This window comes from Homo sapiens, chromosome 12 (assembly GCF_000001405.40).
Source record: "Homo sapiens chromosome 12, GRCh38.p14 Primary Assembly".
NCBI lineage: Eukaryota > Metazoa > Chordata > Mammalia > Primates > Hominidae > Homo > Homo sapiens.
In genome coordinates this window covers 20,858,237-20,876,977 of record NC_000012.12, presented here as the reverse complement: position 1 = coordinate 20,876,977, position 18,741 = coordinate 20,858,237, and the positions used below count along the sequence as shown (strand labels likewise).

Below are 18,741 nucleotides of genomic sequence, written 5' to 3'. Positions count from 1 at the left end.
GTGCCTGTAGTCCCAGCTACTCGGGAGGCTGAGGCAGGAGAATTGCTTGAACCTGGGAGGTGGAGGTTGCAGTGAGTCAAGATTGCACCACTGCACTCCAGCCTGGGTGACAGAGCGAGACTCTGTCTCAAAAAAAAAAATTCATCAATTGTTATGGATTTGATTAAAGTAGAAACATAGCATAGACAAAATAAAAAATCCTTGATACGCTGTTTTTAGTATGCATGTTAAACTACAAAAACTTATCAATGATGTGCTGGTAAATGTTTAACAACAGATTCACTGGGAAACAAACTCGATTTGTGATATTTTTCAATTTCCATGGTAATACATGACGGTAAATTCTCCTACCATGGACAATTTCAAGCTACCAACGCAGCTGAAATTGAGCAATCCACTCTCATGAGTGAATACACAAGGCTCCAGCATCCATCCCATTGCTCTTGGGTTAGTGTGGTGGAGAGGAGAAAATAACAACAACAAAAAAAAAGGTAAGTGAAGGAACTGATGAGAGAAAGAACATGGGTTACTTTGGAAAGTTTGTAAGTTTACTTCAATGAAAACTTTAAAAAGTGCCAAGGGTTTAAGTGTTGGTTGCACTGCTTCAGGTTTTACTACTTCACCATTTCTCCCTAATCTGAAAACTGCTGTCAATACCTTACCATTTGATATATCTTGCTCTGACAGCTGCCAGATCATTCTCTTGATTATTGCTTCTCAATGGTACTCCATTAGCCCATTTGGCTTATATTGGACAGAGGCACCACTATCAAGTGGTAAGGAATCCTAATTCACATTATTTACTCCAAATATCTTAATTACTGATGTTGCTTTTCACTTCATTTTTGAATACTTAGGTAAGATTATATATGTATATATATAATTTTAATTCATATATAAAAATTAATTTAATAAGATATAATTTTAATTACCAAGAAAAATAATCTTACTCTAATTACCTAGACAGACTCCTCTCCTGAATTCCTTCTCCTTATTTCATCTCTACACCTGAGAATAGTTAAATATAACCTACCATAGTACTTAAGATACTTTATTACAGTGATCTATATACGTCTTAATATCATCCACCAGGTTCTCAAAAAATAAAGGCAATGTTCTATTACCAGAGAATAGTATGATGGCTGGTATCATTTGTTAAATAAATAAATGAATGAAAAATTATAATCCTTTAAACCCTCACAGTTTATACTATATTATATTAAAATGAATATATACTCTGGCTTATAAGCAACAGATGTTTGTAGCCTTTGATTGGTTTCTCTCTTCTAAAGAGCAGAAACCTAATCCTCTTCCCCTTTTTATGTACTCAAGACATATTTGTTAATTTTAATAGGAGTTTTAGAAAAAATAATTCAGCTAAATTTAGCAGAGAAGAAAGCTGACTCTAGATGATTTGAGTATGCTTTATTTTTTTTTACTCACTTCTCCGTTTCATTGAGATTAACAATTCCAAGTTGACAATGAATGTCAAATACCTACCAGTCACATTTTTGGTAACATTTTTTCCTTGGTTGGTCAAATTAGCTGTTTGATTTCTATCATCATTTGTTTTCAGCACATGCAATGATAGTGAAATTTTTCTTTCTTTTTGTGGTTTATTTGGATTTTTCGGCAAGAAAAAAAATGGTATGGAAGAAATAATGGAAAATAGTCCAGACACAAGGAAACCAAGCCACCAAGCTCCAACCCAACGAGAGTCCTTAGGAGTTATTCTGATAGTGCCTAGGAGAAACAGTTAAAAGAAGCCAGTCAAAAATCGTTTTGAAATACAGTAGGTTCTGGGAAATAATGATAATGATTGCAGTCCTCCATAGATGAAGAAAGTAAACCAAATGTTTACTTTCAATTCTAAAACACTATTTTCTTCTTTTCATATTTTGTTATCTCTGAAACTAGGTTGATGACATCTTGCAATTGCTATTGTCCAGGAGTCAGTCATGACACTGTTCGCATTGCCTGATCTTGTGTGCACTTGGTGGCTTTTCAGATTTCATGACTGGACAGCTGTCATCATTGGACATTTAACTCCTCAGACCATTTAATAACTGTTCATGGAAGAAATATGAATCCTCACTGTTGTCTGAAAATGTTGGAATCATCTAATGAGGTCAAGAAAGCCTCAGAAATAAAATTTAAGCAGCTGGCAAAAAATACTTAGAGACAATAAAGGAGCTTCCATCCACAGCACCCTAACTACCCAGGAACCTGCATTTGCAACTCTCCAGACAGCACAGAGGATGAAAAACTATGCAAAATGAAAATCTGAGTTTAAGAGTAACCCAGAAATATTGGACTCTAAATGTTAGAAATCATTTAACCATTTTATTTCAACTATATTTCCCTTAAAGTATGTATAAGAGTAATGTGTAAATGCTATATCTCAAATGTCAATGAGTTATTTTAGTAGGTAGAAAATATACAGTTTAAGTAACAGGAATGCATCCATGAGATATCAGCAAGATACCAGAATAAGAAGGACAGATACCTTTTTCTCCATGAACATACTGATTCAACAGTAATATTCAGATCAATTTCATTTGTGAGAAATACAGAAGCTAACTGAGAGATTGCTATACATCAGGAAAGTACAAAACCAGATACATAAAAACCAGTAAGATAATTGGAGACATCCTCTTGCCATTCTCCTCCTCAGTATTATACCATACAATTGGGAAAAACTAGCAGTTTAAACTGGCATGTGAACACTTGACACAGCTCTTCCCTCTGGCTTAACACAGAGCGAATGTGTGAGAGAAAAAGAAAAAAACAAAAAATGTGGCAATTCCTCAAGGATCTAGAACCAGAAATGCCATTTGATCCAGCAATCCCTTTACTGGGTATATACCCAAAGGAATATAAATCATTATATTATAAAGATACATGCACATGTATGTTTATTGCAGCATTATTTACAATAGCAAAATCATGGAACCAACCCAAATACCCATCAATGATAGACTGTATAAGGCAAATGTGGTACATATACACCATGGAATACTATGCAGCCATAAAAAGGAAGGAGATAATGTCCTTTGCAGGGACATGTATGAAGCTGAAAGCCATTATCTTCAGCAAACTAACACAGAAACAGAAAATCAAACACTGCATGTTCTCACAAGAAGGAGCTGAACACTGAGAAGACATAAACACAAAGAGGGGAACAATACACACTGGGGCCTGTCATGGGGGCAGAAGGAGGGAGAGCATCAGGACAAATAGCTAATGCATGTGGGACTTAATACCTAGGTGATGGGTTGATAGGTGCAGCAAACCACCATTGCACATGTTTACCTATGTAACAAACCTGTACATTCTGCACATGTATCCTGGAACTTAAAGTAAAATAAAATTTTTAAAAAATGCTCCCAGCTTATCCTTGGGGAGAGAAAGGGCTGGACTGCACATTCAACATTTCAACCTTTCCAAGTGCTACCCAATAGATTAGCTTCTATCTCATCTGTCTCGAAGTACTGAGAGGACCCAGCATATGCCAGACACCTGGGAACTACAGAGAATAAAGATGAGCCAGTATGTGGACATTTATCACAGATCCTGCCCCCTAGGTTAGTGCAGAGTGAGCAGGCAAAAACAAACAAAAACAAAAACAACAACAACATCTCAGCTCTTAGCTCCTCCATGGGGAAACAAAGATTTGGACCACATATATAACATTTCATCTTTTCTGAGTTCTATCAAGGAAAGGTATTTTGTCTTCCTTGTCTTTAGGTTAGGCATACACTTGGCCCCTGGGTGCTACAAAGAACACAAAAATGATGATTTAAACTAGCACATGGGCACTTGCCAAGTTCTTCCTGCCCCTAGATTTAAGCAGAGTGATGAGGTAAGAAATCTCAGCTTCCAAATTCTCCATGGGAAGGGAAAGGGTTGGACAGCATGCCAAATATTCAAACTTTCCTAAGAGTTGACTAAGGACTGTCTTCTGTCTCAAATGTGTAAAGGTGCTGATAAGACCCTGCATACTCTAGATGCCTGGGGGATCCTAAGACAAAGATAGATGTTTGGATGACCATGAAAATTTGAGAGGCCCAAGAAGATATGGCTGGGCTGATTGATGAAGGTTTTCTCCTACAATAAGGCCAGTCCATGAAGAGTTGGAGAGGTGATTCTTTTTTTCTAAGGCATAGATTGCAAAATATTTTTTCTAATACCAGCTCAGCCACAGTAAAATAGGGCACCAGGCAGAGTTTTGAGGCCCTAACTCATGGACAACATTTCTAGGCACATCCTGGGCCAAAAAGGAATCCACTGCCTTGAAGGGAAGGACCCACTCCTGGCAGCATTTATCATCAGTTGACTAAAGAGCCCTCAGGCCCTAAATAACCAGCAGTGGTACCAAAGTAATGCAAAGTAATGCACTCAGGGCCTTGGGCTCTGAGATTTGCTGACTTCAGGTGTGACCAAGCACAATCCCAGCCATGGTGGTTGCGGTGAAAGACTCCTTCTGTTTAAGAGAAGTGGTGGAAAAATAAAGGCGACTTTGTCTTGCACCTTAGGTAGCAGCTCAGCTACAGTAGAACAGAGCAACAAGAAGGCTTTTGGGGTCCCTGAGTCCAGGACTAAGCTCTTGGAAAGCATTTCTAGACCTGCCCTGGGCCAGAGGCAAGTCTAGAAATGCTGTCCAATAGCCTAGTCCTGGACTAAGAGACCCACTGCCCTGAAGGATGAGTCTCTGAGACCTGGCAGCATTCATAATAAACTGACTGAAGAGCCCTAGAGCTTTAATTGAACATGGGTGGTGGCCTGGCAGAATCTTCCTTGGGCCTGTGGTGGTGGTGGACACAGGGAGAGGCTCCTCTGCCTGTGGCAAGGGGAGAGAAGAGCAAGAAGAACTTTGTGCTGTGGTTTGGGTGCCAGCGTAGCCATAGTAAAACAGATATCTATTACAGGTAAATTGCAAGGGTTTTTTGCTCCAATCCTTGGCTCTCAGACAGCATCTGTAGGCCAGCCTGAGGCCTAGAGGAACTCACTGCATTGAAGGGAAGGATACAAACCTGGCTGGCTTGGCCAACTACTGATTGTAGAGCCCTTGATCTTGAGTTAACATAGATGGTAGCCCGACAGTAGTTAAAGAGGGCCTTGGGCAAGACCCAGTGCTGTGCTGGCTTCAGGTCTTACCCAGGACAGTCTCAGTGGTTGGGGGGCCACAAGGATGCTTGCTTGCATCAGTGAACCCCCAGTTTCTGGCAGCTCAGCACAGAAAGAGCAAGACTACATTTGCTTTGGAGAAAGCAGGGGAAGAGAACAAGAGTCTCTGCCTAATAATCCAGAGAATTCTTCCATATACTTTCCAAGGCCACCAAGGCAGTACCTCTCTAAGACTGTAAAAACCACAGTATTATTGAGGTTGTGGCCAAAGTCCCTTCATATACCTAAAAAGCCTAGTAAAGAAGGATAGGCAAAAACAAACCCAGACAACAAAGACTAGAATAAATACCTAAGTCATCAATGCCCAGACACTGATGAATAACATAAGCACTAAGATGAGCCAGGAAAACATGACCTCACCAAACAAATTAAATAAGGCACCAGGGAACAATCCTGGTGAAACAGACATATGTAATCTTTCAAACAGAGAATTCAACATAGCTATTCTGAAGAAACTCAGAGAAATTCAAGATAACACAGAGAAGGAATTCAGAAACTATCAGATAATTTAACAAAGAGACTGAAATAATTAATGCCAATACTATTCAAACCATTCCAAAAAATGGAGGAGCAGGGAATATTTCCAAACTCCTTCTGTGAGGCCAATATTACCCTGATACCAAAATCAAACAAACACACATCAAAAAAACTACAGGCCAATTTCTCTGATGAATATTGATGCAAATATCCTCAACAAAATAGTGACAAACCAAATTCAACAATACATTAGAATGATCCTTCATCATGACCAAGTGGGATTTATCCTGGGATCCAAAGTTAGTTCAACATATGCAAATCAATAAATCTGATACATTATATAAACAGAATGAAAGGTAAAAATCATATGATCATTTCAATTGATGCTAAAAAAGCACTTGATAAAATTCAACATCCCTTCATAATAAAAGCCCTCAAAAATCTGGGAATAGAAGGAACATACCTACTCAAATATATCCACAGATTCAAATTCATATGAAACCAACAAATGACCTCAAATAGCCAAAGCAACCTTGAGAAAGAACAAAGGTGATGGTTCACACTTCCTGATTACAAATATATGTCAAAGCTAAAGTAATTAATACATTACAGTACTGGCATAAAGATAGATATGTAGACCAACAGAATGGAATACAGAGCCCAGAGAAATCTGTGTGTATACAGTCATCTGATCTTTGACAAGGGACCACGATAGTGAAATAATTGTTTCTCTGATAAATGGTGTTGAGAAAACCAGATATTCACATACAAGAAAATGATGTTATATCCTTATCATATATATACTGAAAAAATAAACTCAGACTATGTTGAAGACTAAAATTTAAAACTAGAAACTATAAAATTCTTAGAATAAAACTTAGAGAAAGAATTTCATTACATTTGTCTTGACAATAATTTCATGGATGTACCACCAAAAGCACAGGCAATAAAAGCAAAATTAGACAAATGGAACTGGTCAAACTAAAAAGCTTCTACCCAGCAAAAGAAATAATCAACAGAGTGAAAAGGCAACATACGGAATAAGAGAAAATATTCATAAAGCATATATGTGATAAGGTGTTAATTTCTAAAATGTACAAAAAATTCCTACAACTCCATAGCAAAAAAATATAATTGCCTGATTTAAAAATAGGTGAAAGACCTGAATAGAAATTTCTCCAAAGAAGGTATCGAAATGAACAGGTATATGAAAAGATATCCAACATCACTTATTATCATAATAATGCAAATCAAAAGCACAATTACGTATCACCATACACCCATTAGGATGGCTATTATCAAAAATAAAGAATGAGAAAAGTGTTGGCATAGATGTGGAGATATTTGAACACTTATACACTGTTGGTAGAATGCAAAATCGTGCACCTGGTATAAAAAAATAGTATGAAGTTTCCTCAAAAAATTAAATATAGAACTACCATATGATGGAGCAATCTCACTTCTAGGTGTATATCCAAAATAATCGAAATTAGGATCTCACAGAGATATTTCCATTTGTATGTTCATTGCAGCACTCTTCACAGCAGTCTAAATGTGAAAACAACCTAATATCTACAGAGAGATGAATAAACAAAGAAAATGTGATATATACGTATAATGAAATGCTATTCACCCTTAAACAGAAAGGACATCCTGCAATATGTGATAACGTGGTTAAACTTTGCCAACATTGTGCTAAGTGAAATAAGCCAGTCACAGAAGAACAAATACTGAGTGTGAGCGGCAAGCCACCCAGGTGCCGAGGCAAGAGACCAAGGACACGAGCTGTTCCAGTATAATAAAATATAAAACAAGAAGTTATACCAGATATAGATCTTAGATATGATTATATATGAATATCATTAATCATTAGTTTGTAGCAATTACTCTTTATTCCAATATTATAATAATCCTCACTCTATAATCATAACCTAGGAAAAGCCAGGCCATACAGAGACAGAAGCTGAGGGGACACAGTGAGAAGTGACCAAAAGACAAGAGTGCGAGCCTTCTGTTATGCCCACACAGGGCCACCAGAAGGGCTCCTTGTTCTAGCAGTGACGCCAGTGTCTGGGAAGACGCCCATTGCCAGGCGGACCACAGTCTAGCGGTAGCAAGAAGTGTCAAGGAACAACACCCGCTACTTAGCAGACCGGGAAAGGGAGTCACCCTTTCCCCGGGGGAGTTTAGAAAAGACTCTGCTCCTCCACCTCTTGTGATATTAGTCAGGCTTGCCCGCAGTTATCCAGAGGCCTAACCATCTCCCTGTGATGCTGTGCTTCAGTGGTCACGTTCCTAGTCCGCCTTCATGTTCCATCCTGTACACTTGGCTCTGCCTTCTAGATAGCAGTAGTAAATTAGTGAAAGTACTAAAAGTCTCTGATATGCAGAAATAATGGTGTAAGTTGTCTTTCTCTTTGTCTCCTCTCTCTTCTCTGCCTCGGCTGCCAGGCAGGGAAGGGCCCCCTGTCTAGTGGACATGTGATCCACGTGACCTTACCTATCATTGGAGATGACTCACACTCTTTACCCTGCCCCTTTTGCTTTGTATCCAATAAATAACAGCACAGCCAGACATTCGGGGCCACTACCAGTCTCTGTGCATTGGTGGTAGTGGTCCCCCAGGCCCAGGGGTCTTTTCTTTTATCTCTTTGTCTTGTGTCTTTATTTCTACACTCTCTCATCTCCGCACACAGTAAGAGACCCACCAAATCTGTGGGGCTGGTCCCTACAACTGAGTGATTACATTTATGTGAGGCATACAAAAGAGTCAAACTCATGAAAGCAGAAAGTAGAATGGTGATTTCCAGTGGTTGTGGGAAAGGGGAAATAGGGAGTTCCCAGTCAATGGGTATAAAAAGTTTCATTTATACAAGATGAGTAAGCTCTAGAGATCCGCTGTACAACATTGTGCCTGTAGTTAATAATACTGTATTGTACAGTTGACCTTTGAATAACATGGGATTTAGGGTGGCTGACCCCCCAAACAGTTGACAATCTGTCTGTAACTTTTGGTTCCCCAAAAACTTAACTTGAATCTGTAGATATATTTGGGTAGGTATGTTCCTTCTATCCCCAGATTTTTGAGGGCTTTTATTATGAAGGGATGTTGAATTTTATCAAGTGCTTTTTTAGCACTAATAGTTGGCCAGAATTCTTACCAATAGCATAAACAGTCAACATATATTTTGCATGCTGTATGTATTATAAACTGTATTCTTTCTATAAAATAAGCAGGAGAAAATGACATTTAGAAAATCACAAGGAAATGTGTTTACTATTCATTAAGTGGAAGTGGGTCATCATAACGCTTTTCATCATCCTCATCTCTTCACATTGAACAGGTAGAGGAGGAGGAAGGGGAGGCACTGTTCTTGCTTTCTCTAGGGTAGTAGAGGCAGAGGCAGTGGAGGAGGTAAAAAGAAAGACAGGAAAGGCAGGTACACACAGTGTGGCTTTACAGAAACACATCATAATTTCTACAGGAAAGACAGGTACACACAGTGTGGCTTTACAGAAATACATCATAATTTCTATTTGACTTTGTTACTTTATCATTTCTCTGAAAATGTTTCTATATGATACCAATCCTTCTTCCACTGTTTGCTTTCATTTCAGTGCCCACATTACAGAAGCTTCCATGTTGTAAAATACATCAAAACAGTCTTGAATAATCAGAACACTTCTGCCAGACTGTCTGATGTCAATTTGTTTCTGTCGCTGCTTCTTCCATGTCTTCTTCCTCATCATCTGACATTAGTTCAGAAGCACTTATCTCCATCAAGTTGTCTTCTGTTAATTCCTCTGTTGTGCCTGTTACCTCTTGAATGTCTCCAAGATCCATGTCTTGAAATTCTTCACTCCACACCTTTTTTTTTTTTGGCCATATCCACAATCTCTTCATAATTTTCTTGAATGGTTATGAATTCCATGAAGCTATGCACAACATTTGGACAGTTTTCTCCAGTAGAAATTTGTTTCCTGTTTGAAGGCTTTTGTGGCTTTTTACATAACAATGATGGCGACTTCAACGGTGTAATCTTTTCAGACTTTTATAATGTTCTCTCTATTGGGGTTCTCTTCCACAGTATTTACAATCCTTTCTATAGGGTAACATGTATAATGAGCCTTAAATGTCCTTAGGACCCCACATCTAGAGGGTGAATTAGAGACATTGAGTTTGGGGTAAAGCAGACCACTTCAGCACCTTCAGTATTCAACTCATGAGGTTCTGGATGACCAAGAGCATTGCCAATTATCAAAAGGACTTTAAAAGGTAAACCCTTCCTGCCAAGGTACTTCCTGTCTTCAGGAACAAAGCATGGAAGGAAACTGTCATAACTTTTCAGAAAAAAAGTTATTGTTCAGGCCTTCTTGTCATACAACCAAAAGACTAACAACTGTTTTTTACTATTTCCCCTTCAAGGCTTAGGGATTAGCAGTTGTATAGGTAAGAACAGTTCCGATCATAAACCCCACTGCATTTGCACAGAACATCAGCGTTAGCCTATCCCTTCCTGCCTTAAATACTGGTACTCACTTATCTTCCTCATTAATAAGTGTACTTTGTGGTATTTTTTTTCCAGAATAGGGCACTTTCATCGGATTAAAAACCTGCTCAGGTAGATGTCCTTTCTCCTCAATGACTTTCTTTATGCCATTTAGAACTTTTCTGTTACTCCTAAGTGGCAGGAGCTGCTTCTCCTGTTATACTGACACTTTTTTGAGGCAAACCTCTTTAGAAAATTTTCAAATTATGCATTAGTGGCATGAAGTTCTCCAGCTTTAAATCATTCACTTTCCTTTTGCTTTAAGTTTTCATATAATGACTTCACTTTTTCTTGAATCATGTTTCGAGTCTACAGTTATGCCTTTCTGATAGCAATCTTGCATCTACATAAAAGTTGAATTTTCAATATGATATAAAAAGCTATTGCACTAAAAGGACAGGTTTATGTGCCCAATGTTGTAGCTGCAGTGAGGCTTCATGTTGATCCATTTTTCTGTGTGTGGGTTTTTGTTTTTGTTTTACAATGGTCCTTGTACTGGATGCATTTATATTGAAACAGTGGCCAGCTGCAGAGCTCATTCTACAGTACATATTAAACAATTCAACTTTTTCTTATAATGTCATGACTTTTCTTTGCTTCTGGGAGCACTTCCAGCATCACTAGTGGTACTTCATACGGCTCACACAGTGTTACTTAAGGTTGATGTTACAGCACTTAACAGGATGAAAAATACGCAGAAAACACAAGGGTTCACTTTTTACTGTGATTCATCACTTACTGGAGAGTGATGAAAACTACTCATATGGAGATGATGAATGACACATGGCATTTTAAATAAATACTCTCAACACTTGAGCTTACTGCAATAACAACAGGAGATGATTACAGAATTTTTACAGCAGTGAAGTAGGCACTACAGTTAATTTTATGCAGTCATGATTTAATACTGTGACTGGGAATGGCATCATGTAAGGTCTATAAGAGTTTCTCTGTGTAAAGTTTAACAAATTTTAACTTTTAATAATAGATTTGTGCATATTTTATTGTAGTAAATTATAAAATAATATTTACATATATTTTATGTATTCACAATATAACTAATTTTCTCTTAACTTTTTCTGTATTTGTAAGCTGCCTAGTTTATCTGCAAGGTTTTTCATGTCGTCACAAATCTCGAAAAATGTTTCCAATACATTTATCAAAAAAACTATGTATAAGTGGACCTGCACAGTTCAAATCTGTGCTGTTCAAGGTTCAATTGTATTTTTGGGAGGTAGAGTCCATTTTAATTGTTCTTATCTCAGTAAAATAAAAATAATAAAGATTAAGAAAGCGTACACACACGGAAACACACACACCATAGAAGTTTGTAGCAAACTTAACTGATGCCATTACTCTGATCTATAAGAAAAATCATTGACATGAAAAAATATTGAATTGATTTAAAACTATTTAGAAATATATTATTTGCTAGTATGGACTGATCTGGTTTTAAAATTGATTTATGTGATCATATTGTTTCATAATCAACAACTCAGGCAGACTTCAGGAAATGACTAGTTAAATCAGTAACTCCATTATACATGCTAAGTGTTTACTTATCACCTGTCAGAAATGTAATTTTGATGACTGTTTTTGGTTCTTTCACTGGTCTATATATAGGAACTAAAGGTCATAACCAAGCTAGATATGTCCTGCTAGTGCTTCCCGTGGCTCACACACAATCTTAAAAATTGGAAAATTCTACATTAAAATCTTGGTTCCTGGATTCTCTGGAAAACCAATCAGAAAGCCTTATTAATGCCGGTGCCAAAATTCTGTATGAAAAGTATAGACCAGAGCTGGGGAGCACATGAGTTTTAGTGTGTATGGGGAGAGTAGTGCACCAACAACAACTCTCCCCATTCTAACCATCATACCCTAATTTCCTGCCCTTGATATTCTTTACTCATTTATGTTATGTCTTTGGATCCTGTAGGAATTAAAATTTACCAAAGTATACTTTATCATAAGTTCACTTCATGCTTCTCACAGAATAAGAGAAGATGTGATAAGGTCTGAACAGTCAGGGGTAGAAGTTGAATCACCATGAATTCTAAAATGGTGTGCTTATTTCTGAATAGAGAGGCTACAAAACTACTATCCTAAAGACCTTCAACACTTACTTTGTACTCAGTGTTAAAAGCAATGATTAAAGTAGAGCAAATGAGTAAAAATGATGTACATAACGTGTAGCTACACTAAGCCACATGTCTAACATGGAAGATATAAAACATATCATCAGGTACTTGCTTTAGTTTTATAATAGAAAACACTTTATGATTTCTTGGCCTACAATAATGGCTATTCCATCTTGGAATGAATCCTTTGGTCTCTTTGGAGTGATCTATTTAAGTCCTCAAGAGATAGAAAATCATATTTGTTTATTCACAAACCCTGATGAGTTATTATATGCTAACACAGACACGATTCTGTCATGTTCTCAAAGAGATGGTGGGTAAGTATGCAAATATTTATAGATTGTTGTGAGAAGGGCTACAATAAAGGCATGCTCTTGATGATTAATAGGAGCACCGAATTTGAGACCAATGGAAATGATGAAGTAAGGGTTACATGAGAAAAGTCACATGTTGAAAGAGACTTTGAGAACCATAAAAATAAAAAAGAGAGAAAAGTTTTTCCAATTTTAAATAAAGGGAAGTGTGAGATTACAGGGCATAGTAATTCAGTCAGTCATTGAATTAAGGTACAGATATTCATCAAGAGAGGGAATACAGGAAACAAAGTGGGTTTGGAAATCAGACGATGAGACCAGCTTTTCACAGGTTGAGTTTTAGGTACTTATTTAAAAAAAAATCTAAGAAGAAAAAAATGGAACAAGTAGTAGAAATATCCATTAAAATAAATTATAGAAAAATATCCATTACAATTAGTAAATTACATAGAAGCTGATTGTGTTTTATTAGTGGTAAAACAGATTATAGTGGATGAGAAGTAAATGGGAGATGAGAAGGTGAGATACTTATGTTAGATGATGTTTTTCTAGGTACTTGGCTTTGAAGATAAATTGAGAAACAGTTAATCAATTGGAAAGTTGTTTGGGGATATAAAAATGTGTATGTGTACATAGATGGGAGAGACTTCAGTGTGTTTGCTGAGGAAAAGAGAGGGTGCAGATGGAGGAGAGGCAGAAAGAGGAAATCTAAACCCCAGTTGGATCTACTAATATTAGCTAAAGATAAATACTTTTTCATAAGTATGGGTTAAAAAAAGATAAATATGGATATGGTGAAGGTATATCTGTAGGAAGGAGGGCCTGAAGTCGAGGCAGATATTACAACATTGATTCTTATTCTTCTACAAGAGGAGAAATAAAGCATGCTCTGAGAGTAAAGACAAAAGTCGTAAATTTTATTTATGCATCCTCTCCTTCATTCATTTGTTCTATAAGCACTCATTAAATGTTCCCATAGGCCAAGCCCTCAGTGAGAACCAGGAAAAATGACCACAACCAAAGTGCACTGTGGCCTCTCTTAACCCACCCCTGCCGTAAGTCAATGCAGCAGCCACAAGGAGGCTTTCGCAAAGCAAACATCAACATCTGAGTTCTACACATCAACATCCAAGTCACCATCAACTGAAAAATAAAATTTACTTGACTGGGCCAGTCAGTTTTGGGAAAGGGACATTTCAAGTTTGGTTATTTTGGATCAAGTAATCTAAAATAAATTTGTTAAAAATCTCTTTTTATACTTAGTTGTAAAAGCAAAGTATAAATAGGAGCTAAATTTCTTTTTTATTCTGATTATTAATGGATTTATTTCCTACTTGTAACTCTTGAAAAATAGTAAACAAAGAACTATTGAAAGACTGAATTTAATTCTTTGGAAGAATGGTGTCCTGCACTTAAAAGACACTATCATGGTACCTTGTTCTAATTGTACTTACTCAGATCTACATATCCAATATCCACGTACATTTTAGCAAACAGAGATCCCAGTGCAAAGCCAATGACTGGACCAATCATTCCTATTGCATTCAAACTACCTGTAAGTATTACAAAACAATTTAATCAGATGTCACAAATACTTGGTTTTCATTTAACATGCTTTTAAAAGTAATATTATACAATACACTTCTGCAAATATTTTTCTAATAGGTAAAAGAAAAAAATAATGACATTATTATTTCAAGGGTAGATCCAGGGAATGTAATCATGAAATTTAATATATTCTGTACGTTACCTAAATACAAGGAAGAATGTCCTTCTTTTGCAAAATCATCAATGTATGAAATCCCCAATGGTACTATGGGGGTTTCCCCTATGCCACGAAGCATATTCCCCATGAAGACATAGATCCACATGTGTGACCCAGATTCCTTTACACAATCTATCGAGACAAGAGAGTGTTTTACTTTAAACATTAATTTTAACATTCCTATTAGAAATTTAACTACTTTAAATCCTTCATTTTTCCATTTTTTGTTTGTTTGTTTCCTAATTACAAGTGATTCATATTCACTTTACAAAGTTTGAAAATAAGGAAGGGCACAAAGAAAACAAGTAAAAATTTTCTATAATTACACTACACACAGACGATCATTGCAAATGTTATTCTAGATCTTCTGCATTTTTAGTGCACAAAATATGCATAATATTCCTTATGTACATTACATATTTAAAAATCCAGGTTATTTTTAAGGTGCATATACAATTATCACTATATTGTCACAATTTCCCCATGTTGTCAAGAGTTCTTCTATATTAAAATTTTAATTACTGCATAGTAGTGTGTTGAATAATAGTTTCCTAATTTGGTTAAACAATCTCTTCTTTTGTCGTTACAAAATATTTTTTTTTATTCTGTTAAACATGGATGTCATGGCTGTGATTATGAAATGTCCTTGTGAACATTACTGATGATTTCCTTAAGATTAATCAAGAAAGTAGGCAAGTATATTTTTGTTCTTTAATATGTATTGAAAATTAATCTCCAGAAAGACTTTGAAATTTATACTCTCCCAGCAATACAGAAAACTTGAAATCATTTTTTTTCCTCCACTTCATTTATTTTTAATAAATTTTGGGGTTAAAATTATACTTATATTATTGTGTTTATAATAGTTACAAAGTCTTCAAATGCTATAACATTTTGCATCTTTATAAAGAGAAAGTTATATTATTCACATATTTCTACCACTTTCTGCTTTTTTATTTTAAATGTGTATGTTCTTTGCAAATTTCCTACTAAATTTGTTCTTTTTTCTTATCTACTTCTAAATGCCCTTGGTATACAATAATCCATTTGTACACTAGGAGGTTTGTTCTAGGACAACTCATATGTACACAAATTTATACAGACTTAAGTCCTCTCATTTGCCCTGTGGAAACCGCCTATAGAAGTCAGACCTCCACATCGGTGGTGGGTTTCTCCTTCTGTTTGGTTGGACAAAAGCTGCATATAAGCGAACAGGTGCAGTTCAAACCTGTGTTGTTTAAGAATCGACTGCATACATTAACAGTATGATTTTGTCTGTATGTAAGGGATAAATGTTCTTCCTATTTGTTCTTAAATCAATTTTGTTAAAGAATATCAGAAACTTTATAGACGTGATTAAATCTATCAATCTAGAATTTGTTTTACTGTCACTATTAATTCTTACCTTTTTCTACTATCTCAGGTGATGTTCCATTGAATGATAAGGTTTGATTAATTAAACAGGTTGATAAACTTGATGTTGAATTTTCTGATGGATTAATATGGGTTTCTTTAGAATACCTATAACTGTAAGAGCAACATGAAATTGAACATTTTGCTTATCTACTGAATATTTTCAGTTTTCCCAGAAATACAGAGAAATTTTCTCCTTTATTTGAACCGCTGTCTTCTCCAAATTACCAGAATCTTGTTTGTCAACTTCCCAGCATGTATTTCAGAACAGGTGATGAGAGGGGGTGAAATGGGAGTGTCCACTAAGAAAGATACTTCAATACACCATGAACAAAGTGGGTTATCACCTTGCTTTTATCCTAAGAGTGCTTATAATCTGGTCAAGATATGAAATATCATGGTTTCACCTGTTGTTTTTTTATCTGTTAACTATGTCTATTTATCCCTTTGAGTTACCATCAAAGATGGTCAATCTGTCTGATTTTCTTTCATGTACACACACACACACACACACACACACACACACACACAAAGTGCTTGACTTTTCAAAACTCAATAAAAACAAATTTCTAATTCATTTAAACTTTATGAGGAAAAAATAAGAACAACGGAGATGGAGCTGGATCAGGGACAGACGCTGATGCTCAAAAATACTAACCGCTCTGTGAGTTCTAAGGACAACATATAGTGTGCCAGGCATTTTGCTCAACTTCAAAGAACAAGAAATAAAACATGAAGATCAAGAAATAAAACACACAGTGTTTGTACTTTGGAAATTTCACACTCTCTAAGATAAATGTGTATGATCGAAGATATAGTAAATTTAATATACAAGGTCCTGGGTTGTCACACACCCACAAAAAAGAAATGATCAGGGGCTGGGCGCGGTGGCTCACGCCTGTAATCCCAGCACTTTGGGAGGTGGAGGCGGGCAGATCACGAGGTCAGGAGATCCAGACCACCCTGGCTAACACAGTGAAACCCCGTCTCTACTAAAAATACAAAAAATTAGCCGGGCGTGGTGGCAGGCGCCTGTAGTCCCAGCTACTCGGGAGGCTGAGGCAGGAGAATGGTGTGAACCCGGGAGGCGGGGCTTGCAGTGAGCCGAGATCGCGCCACTGCACTCCAGCCTGGGCGACTAGCGAGACTCCGTCTCAAAAAAAAAAAAAAAAAAAAAGAAATGATCAGCTTTTCTTGGAGGTGAGGGTAGATCAAAGAAAACTTCACAATGTGAAGGACAGATTAAATGAATATTGAAGATGGGTAGAATTCAAATTGGTAGACAAAGGAAGAAAAGTATTCAAGTCTGTAGAAATAACAGATGCAAAGATATGACATATTATGGCACATTAGAGAACTGTAAGCCTAGAATGTGGTCCTCAAATGTGGGGAGCAATGGAAGATGAAGCTGGGGTAGTTGCATTTAAGGCATATTCTCCATAAAAATAATGAAGAATAAGATATTAAGAAGATTAGAGGGAATTATGGGACACAGAAATTATGGTGTCAGAAGCAAAGGAAAAAGATGGGCATGATGAAGCCACAAAAATAGAAAAATGAATCAAGATTGTGGAATATGATGAGTATTAGAGCAGTACCATTAAGAAGAAAGTTCTTATAAGGGCCAAATGTAGAGGGGGAAAAAAACAGAATTCATATGGTGACCAACAGGCATGATTGCTGGATTTGGCATTAAGGAATTGGTGTCTCTAACAAACTGCTCGTTGTCTCTCAGTATCCTTTCTTCTCTCCTTCCATAGTAACAGAAGTTGGTTTTTTTAGCTGGAAATACGGAAGCCTGGAATAAAGTACATTTTTCCAACATCTACATATCTATGTGTAAAACGTAACTGACTTCCCGTAAATGTGAAATCAGTGAAAGTGTTTTGCTTCTGAAAATGCTCCTGGAGCTCAGCCTGTGTGCACTCTTTGTTCTTGTTCTTCTCTTCTTCTATCCTGTTGCCTGGAAATACATTGCCACAATTTGTAACAAGAGGACAAGGCCATGCAAGGCATAGCACTATGATGAAAAGTAGAATCATATCATCCTTGGACTTGAAAAAATGTAAAAAATAAACTTCTATCTTATTTAAGTTATTGCTATTTTCAGTTTTCTCATATGAGCTTCTTACTCTAATCATAACTACACAGTTACCTTAGAAAGAGCAGCTTCAGTGAAATGCTGATGGGAAAACCTGTACAGCAGCAGGTGAAGTTGTGAAGCCTTACTGAGGATAATCAAAATCTTACAGGCAAAAACATAAAATACATATGTTATACTAAAATTGGTAAATAAGATATTCATTTCATATAAAACTGTATACCTTATATAATATTATTCTTATTTAAAAGTTTATAAAAGCCATGATAAATAAAGAAATACATGATGAATAAAGCAATACATGAACTATTATATAGGAAATATACTCCATTTCTCTATGCATACCTATAGGTATTCCTCTCAAAAGGTAACTGCCCACTTACAAGTATAAAAATAAAATTCTACTGCTAATTTACAAGTAGCTGATAATAAATGGCTCAGAGCTGTTTAACACTTACTATCCCATGAAGAAATGTGGTAAAGATGTCAAAATACTTCCAGTTCCCATAAGGAGACAACCAATTCCAATTAACTTCGGTCTGTGTAGTTTAGATCCAAAGTAACTTACAAATACAATCACAAGCAAATTTCCTAGAAAAAAAACAAAATTATGTTGATATGACTTAGTGTAATTTTGTATCTAGTAGAACTGAATGCCCCAAATGAATGCAAATATGCCCAAGACATTGTACCTTCCCTCAAAGACCATGTAATTTAACTGTGAAGGTAAACTCTCCTACATTAAACCACTCATTGAAAAGTTGTATAGTATTAATAAGTAGAATAGGTTTTA

The 18,741-nt window shown here is 36.4% G+C and overlaps 2 protein-coding genes across 3 annotated transcripts in view; both read right to left on the bottom strand.

Annotated features, from left to right (window-relative positions):
- The window catches only part of SLCO1B3 (solute carrier organic anion transporter family member 1B3), a 106,207-nt gene that overhangs the window by 39,934 nt on the left and 47,532 nt on the right, over positions 1-18,741 (bottom strand). For both annotated transcript variants that reach the window (NM_019844.4, NM_001349920.2), the window contains 5 exons: positions 18,407-18,539; positions 15,840-15,961; positions 14,420-14,566; positions 14,124-14,222; positions 1,501-1,743 (listed from right to left, as the gene is read on the bottom strand). In NM_019844.4, the coding sequence (NP_062818.1) occupies positions 1,501-1,743; positions 14,124-14,222; positions 14,420-14,566; positions 15,840-15,961; positions 18,407-18,539 (744 nt within the window). The remainder of the gene's footprint in view (positions 1-1,500; positions 1,744-14,123; positions 14,223-14,419; positions 14,567-15,839; positions 15,962-18,406; positions 18,540-18,741) is intronic.
- The window catches only part of SLCO1B3-SLCO1B7 (SLCO1B3-SLCO1B7 readthrough), a 275,549-nt gene that overhangs the window by 214,245 nt on the left and 42,563 nt on the right, over positions 1-18,741 (bottom strand). Inside the window, exons 3-7 of the mRNA NM_001371097.1 lie at positions 18,407-18,539; positions 15,840-15,961; positions 14,420-14,566; positions 14,124-14,222; positions 1,501-1,743 (exon numbers count right to left, since the gene is read on the bottom strand). Of these exons, the coding sequence (NP_001358026.1) occupies positions 1,501-1,743; positions 14,124-14,222; positions 14,420-14,566; positions 15,840-15,961; positions 18,407-18,539 (744 nt within the window). The remainder of the gene's footprint in view (positions 1-1,500; positions 1,744-14,123; positions 14,223-14,419; positions 14,567-15,839; positions 15,962-18,406; positions 18,540-18,741) is intronic.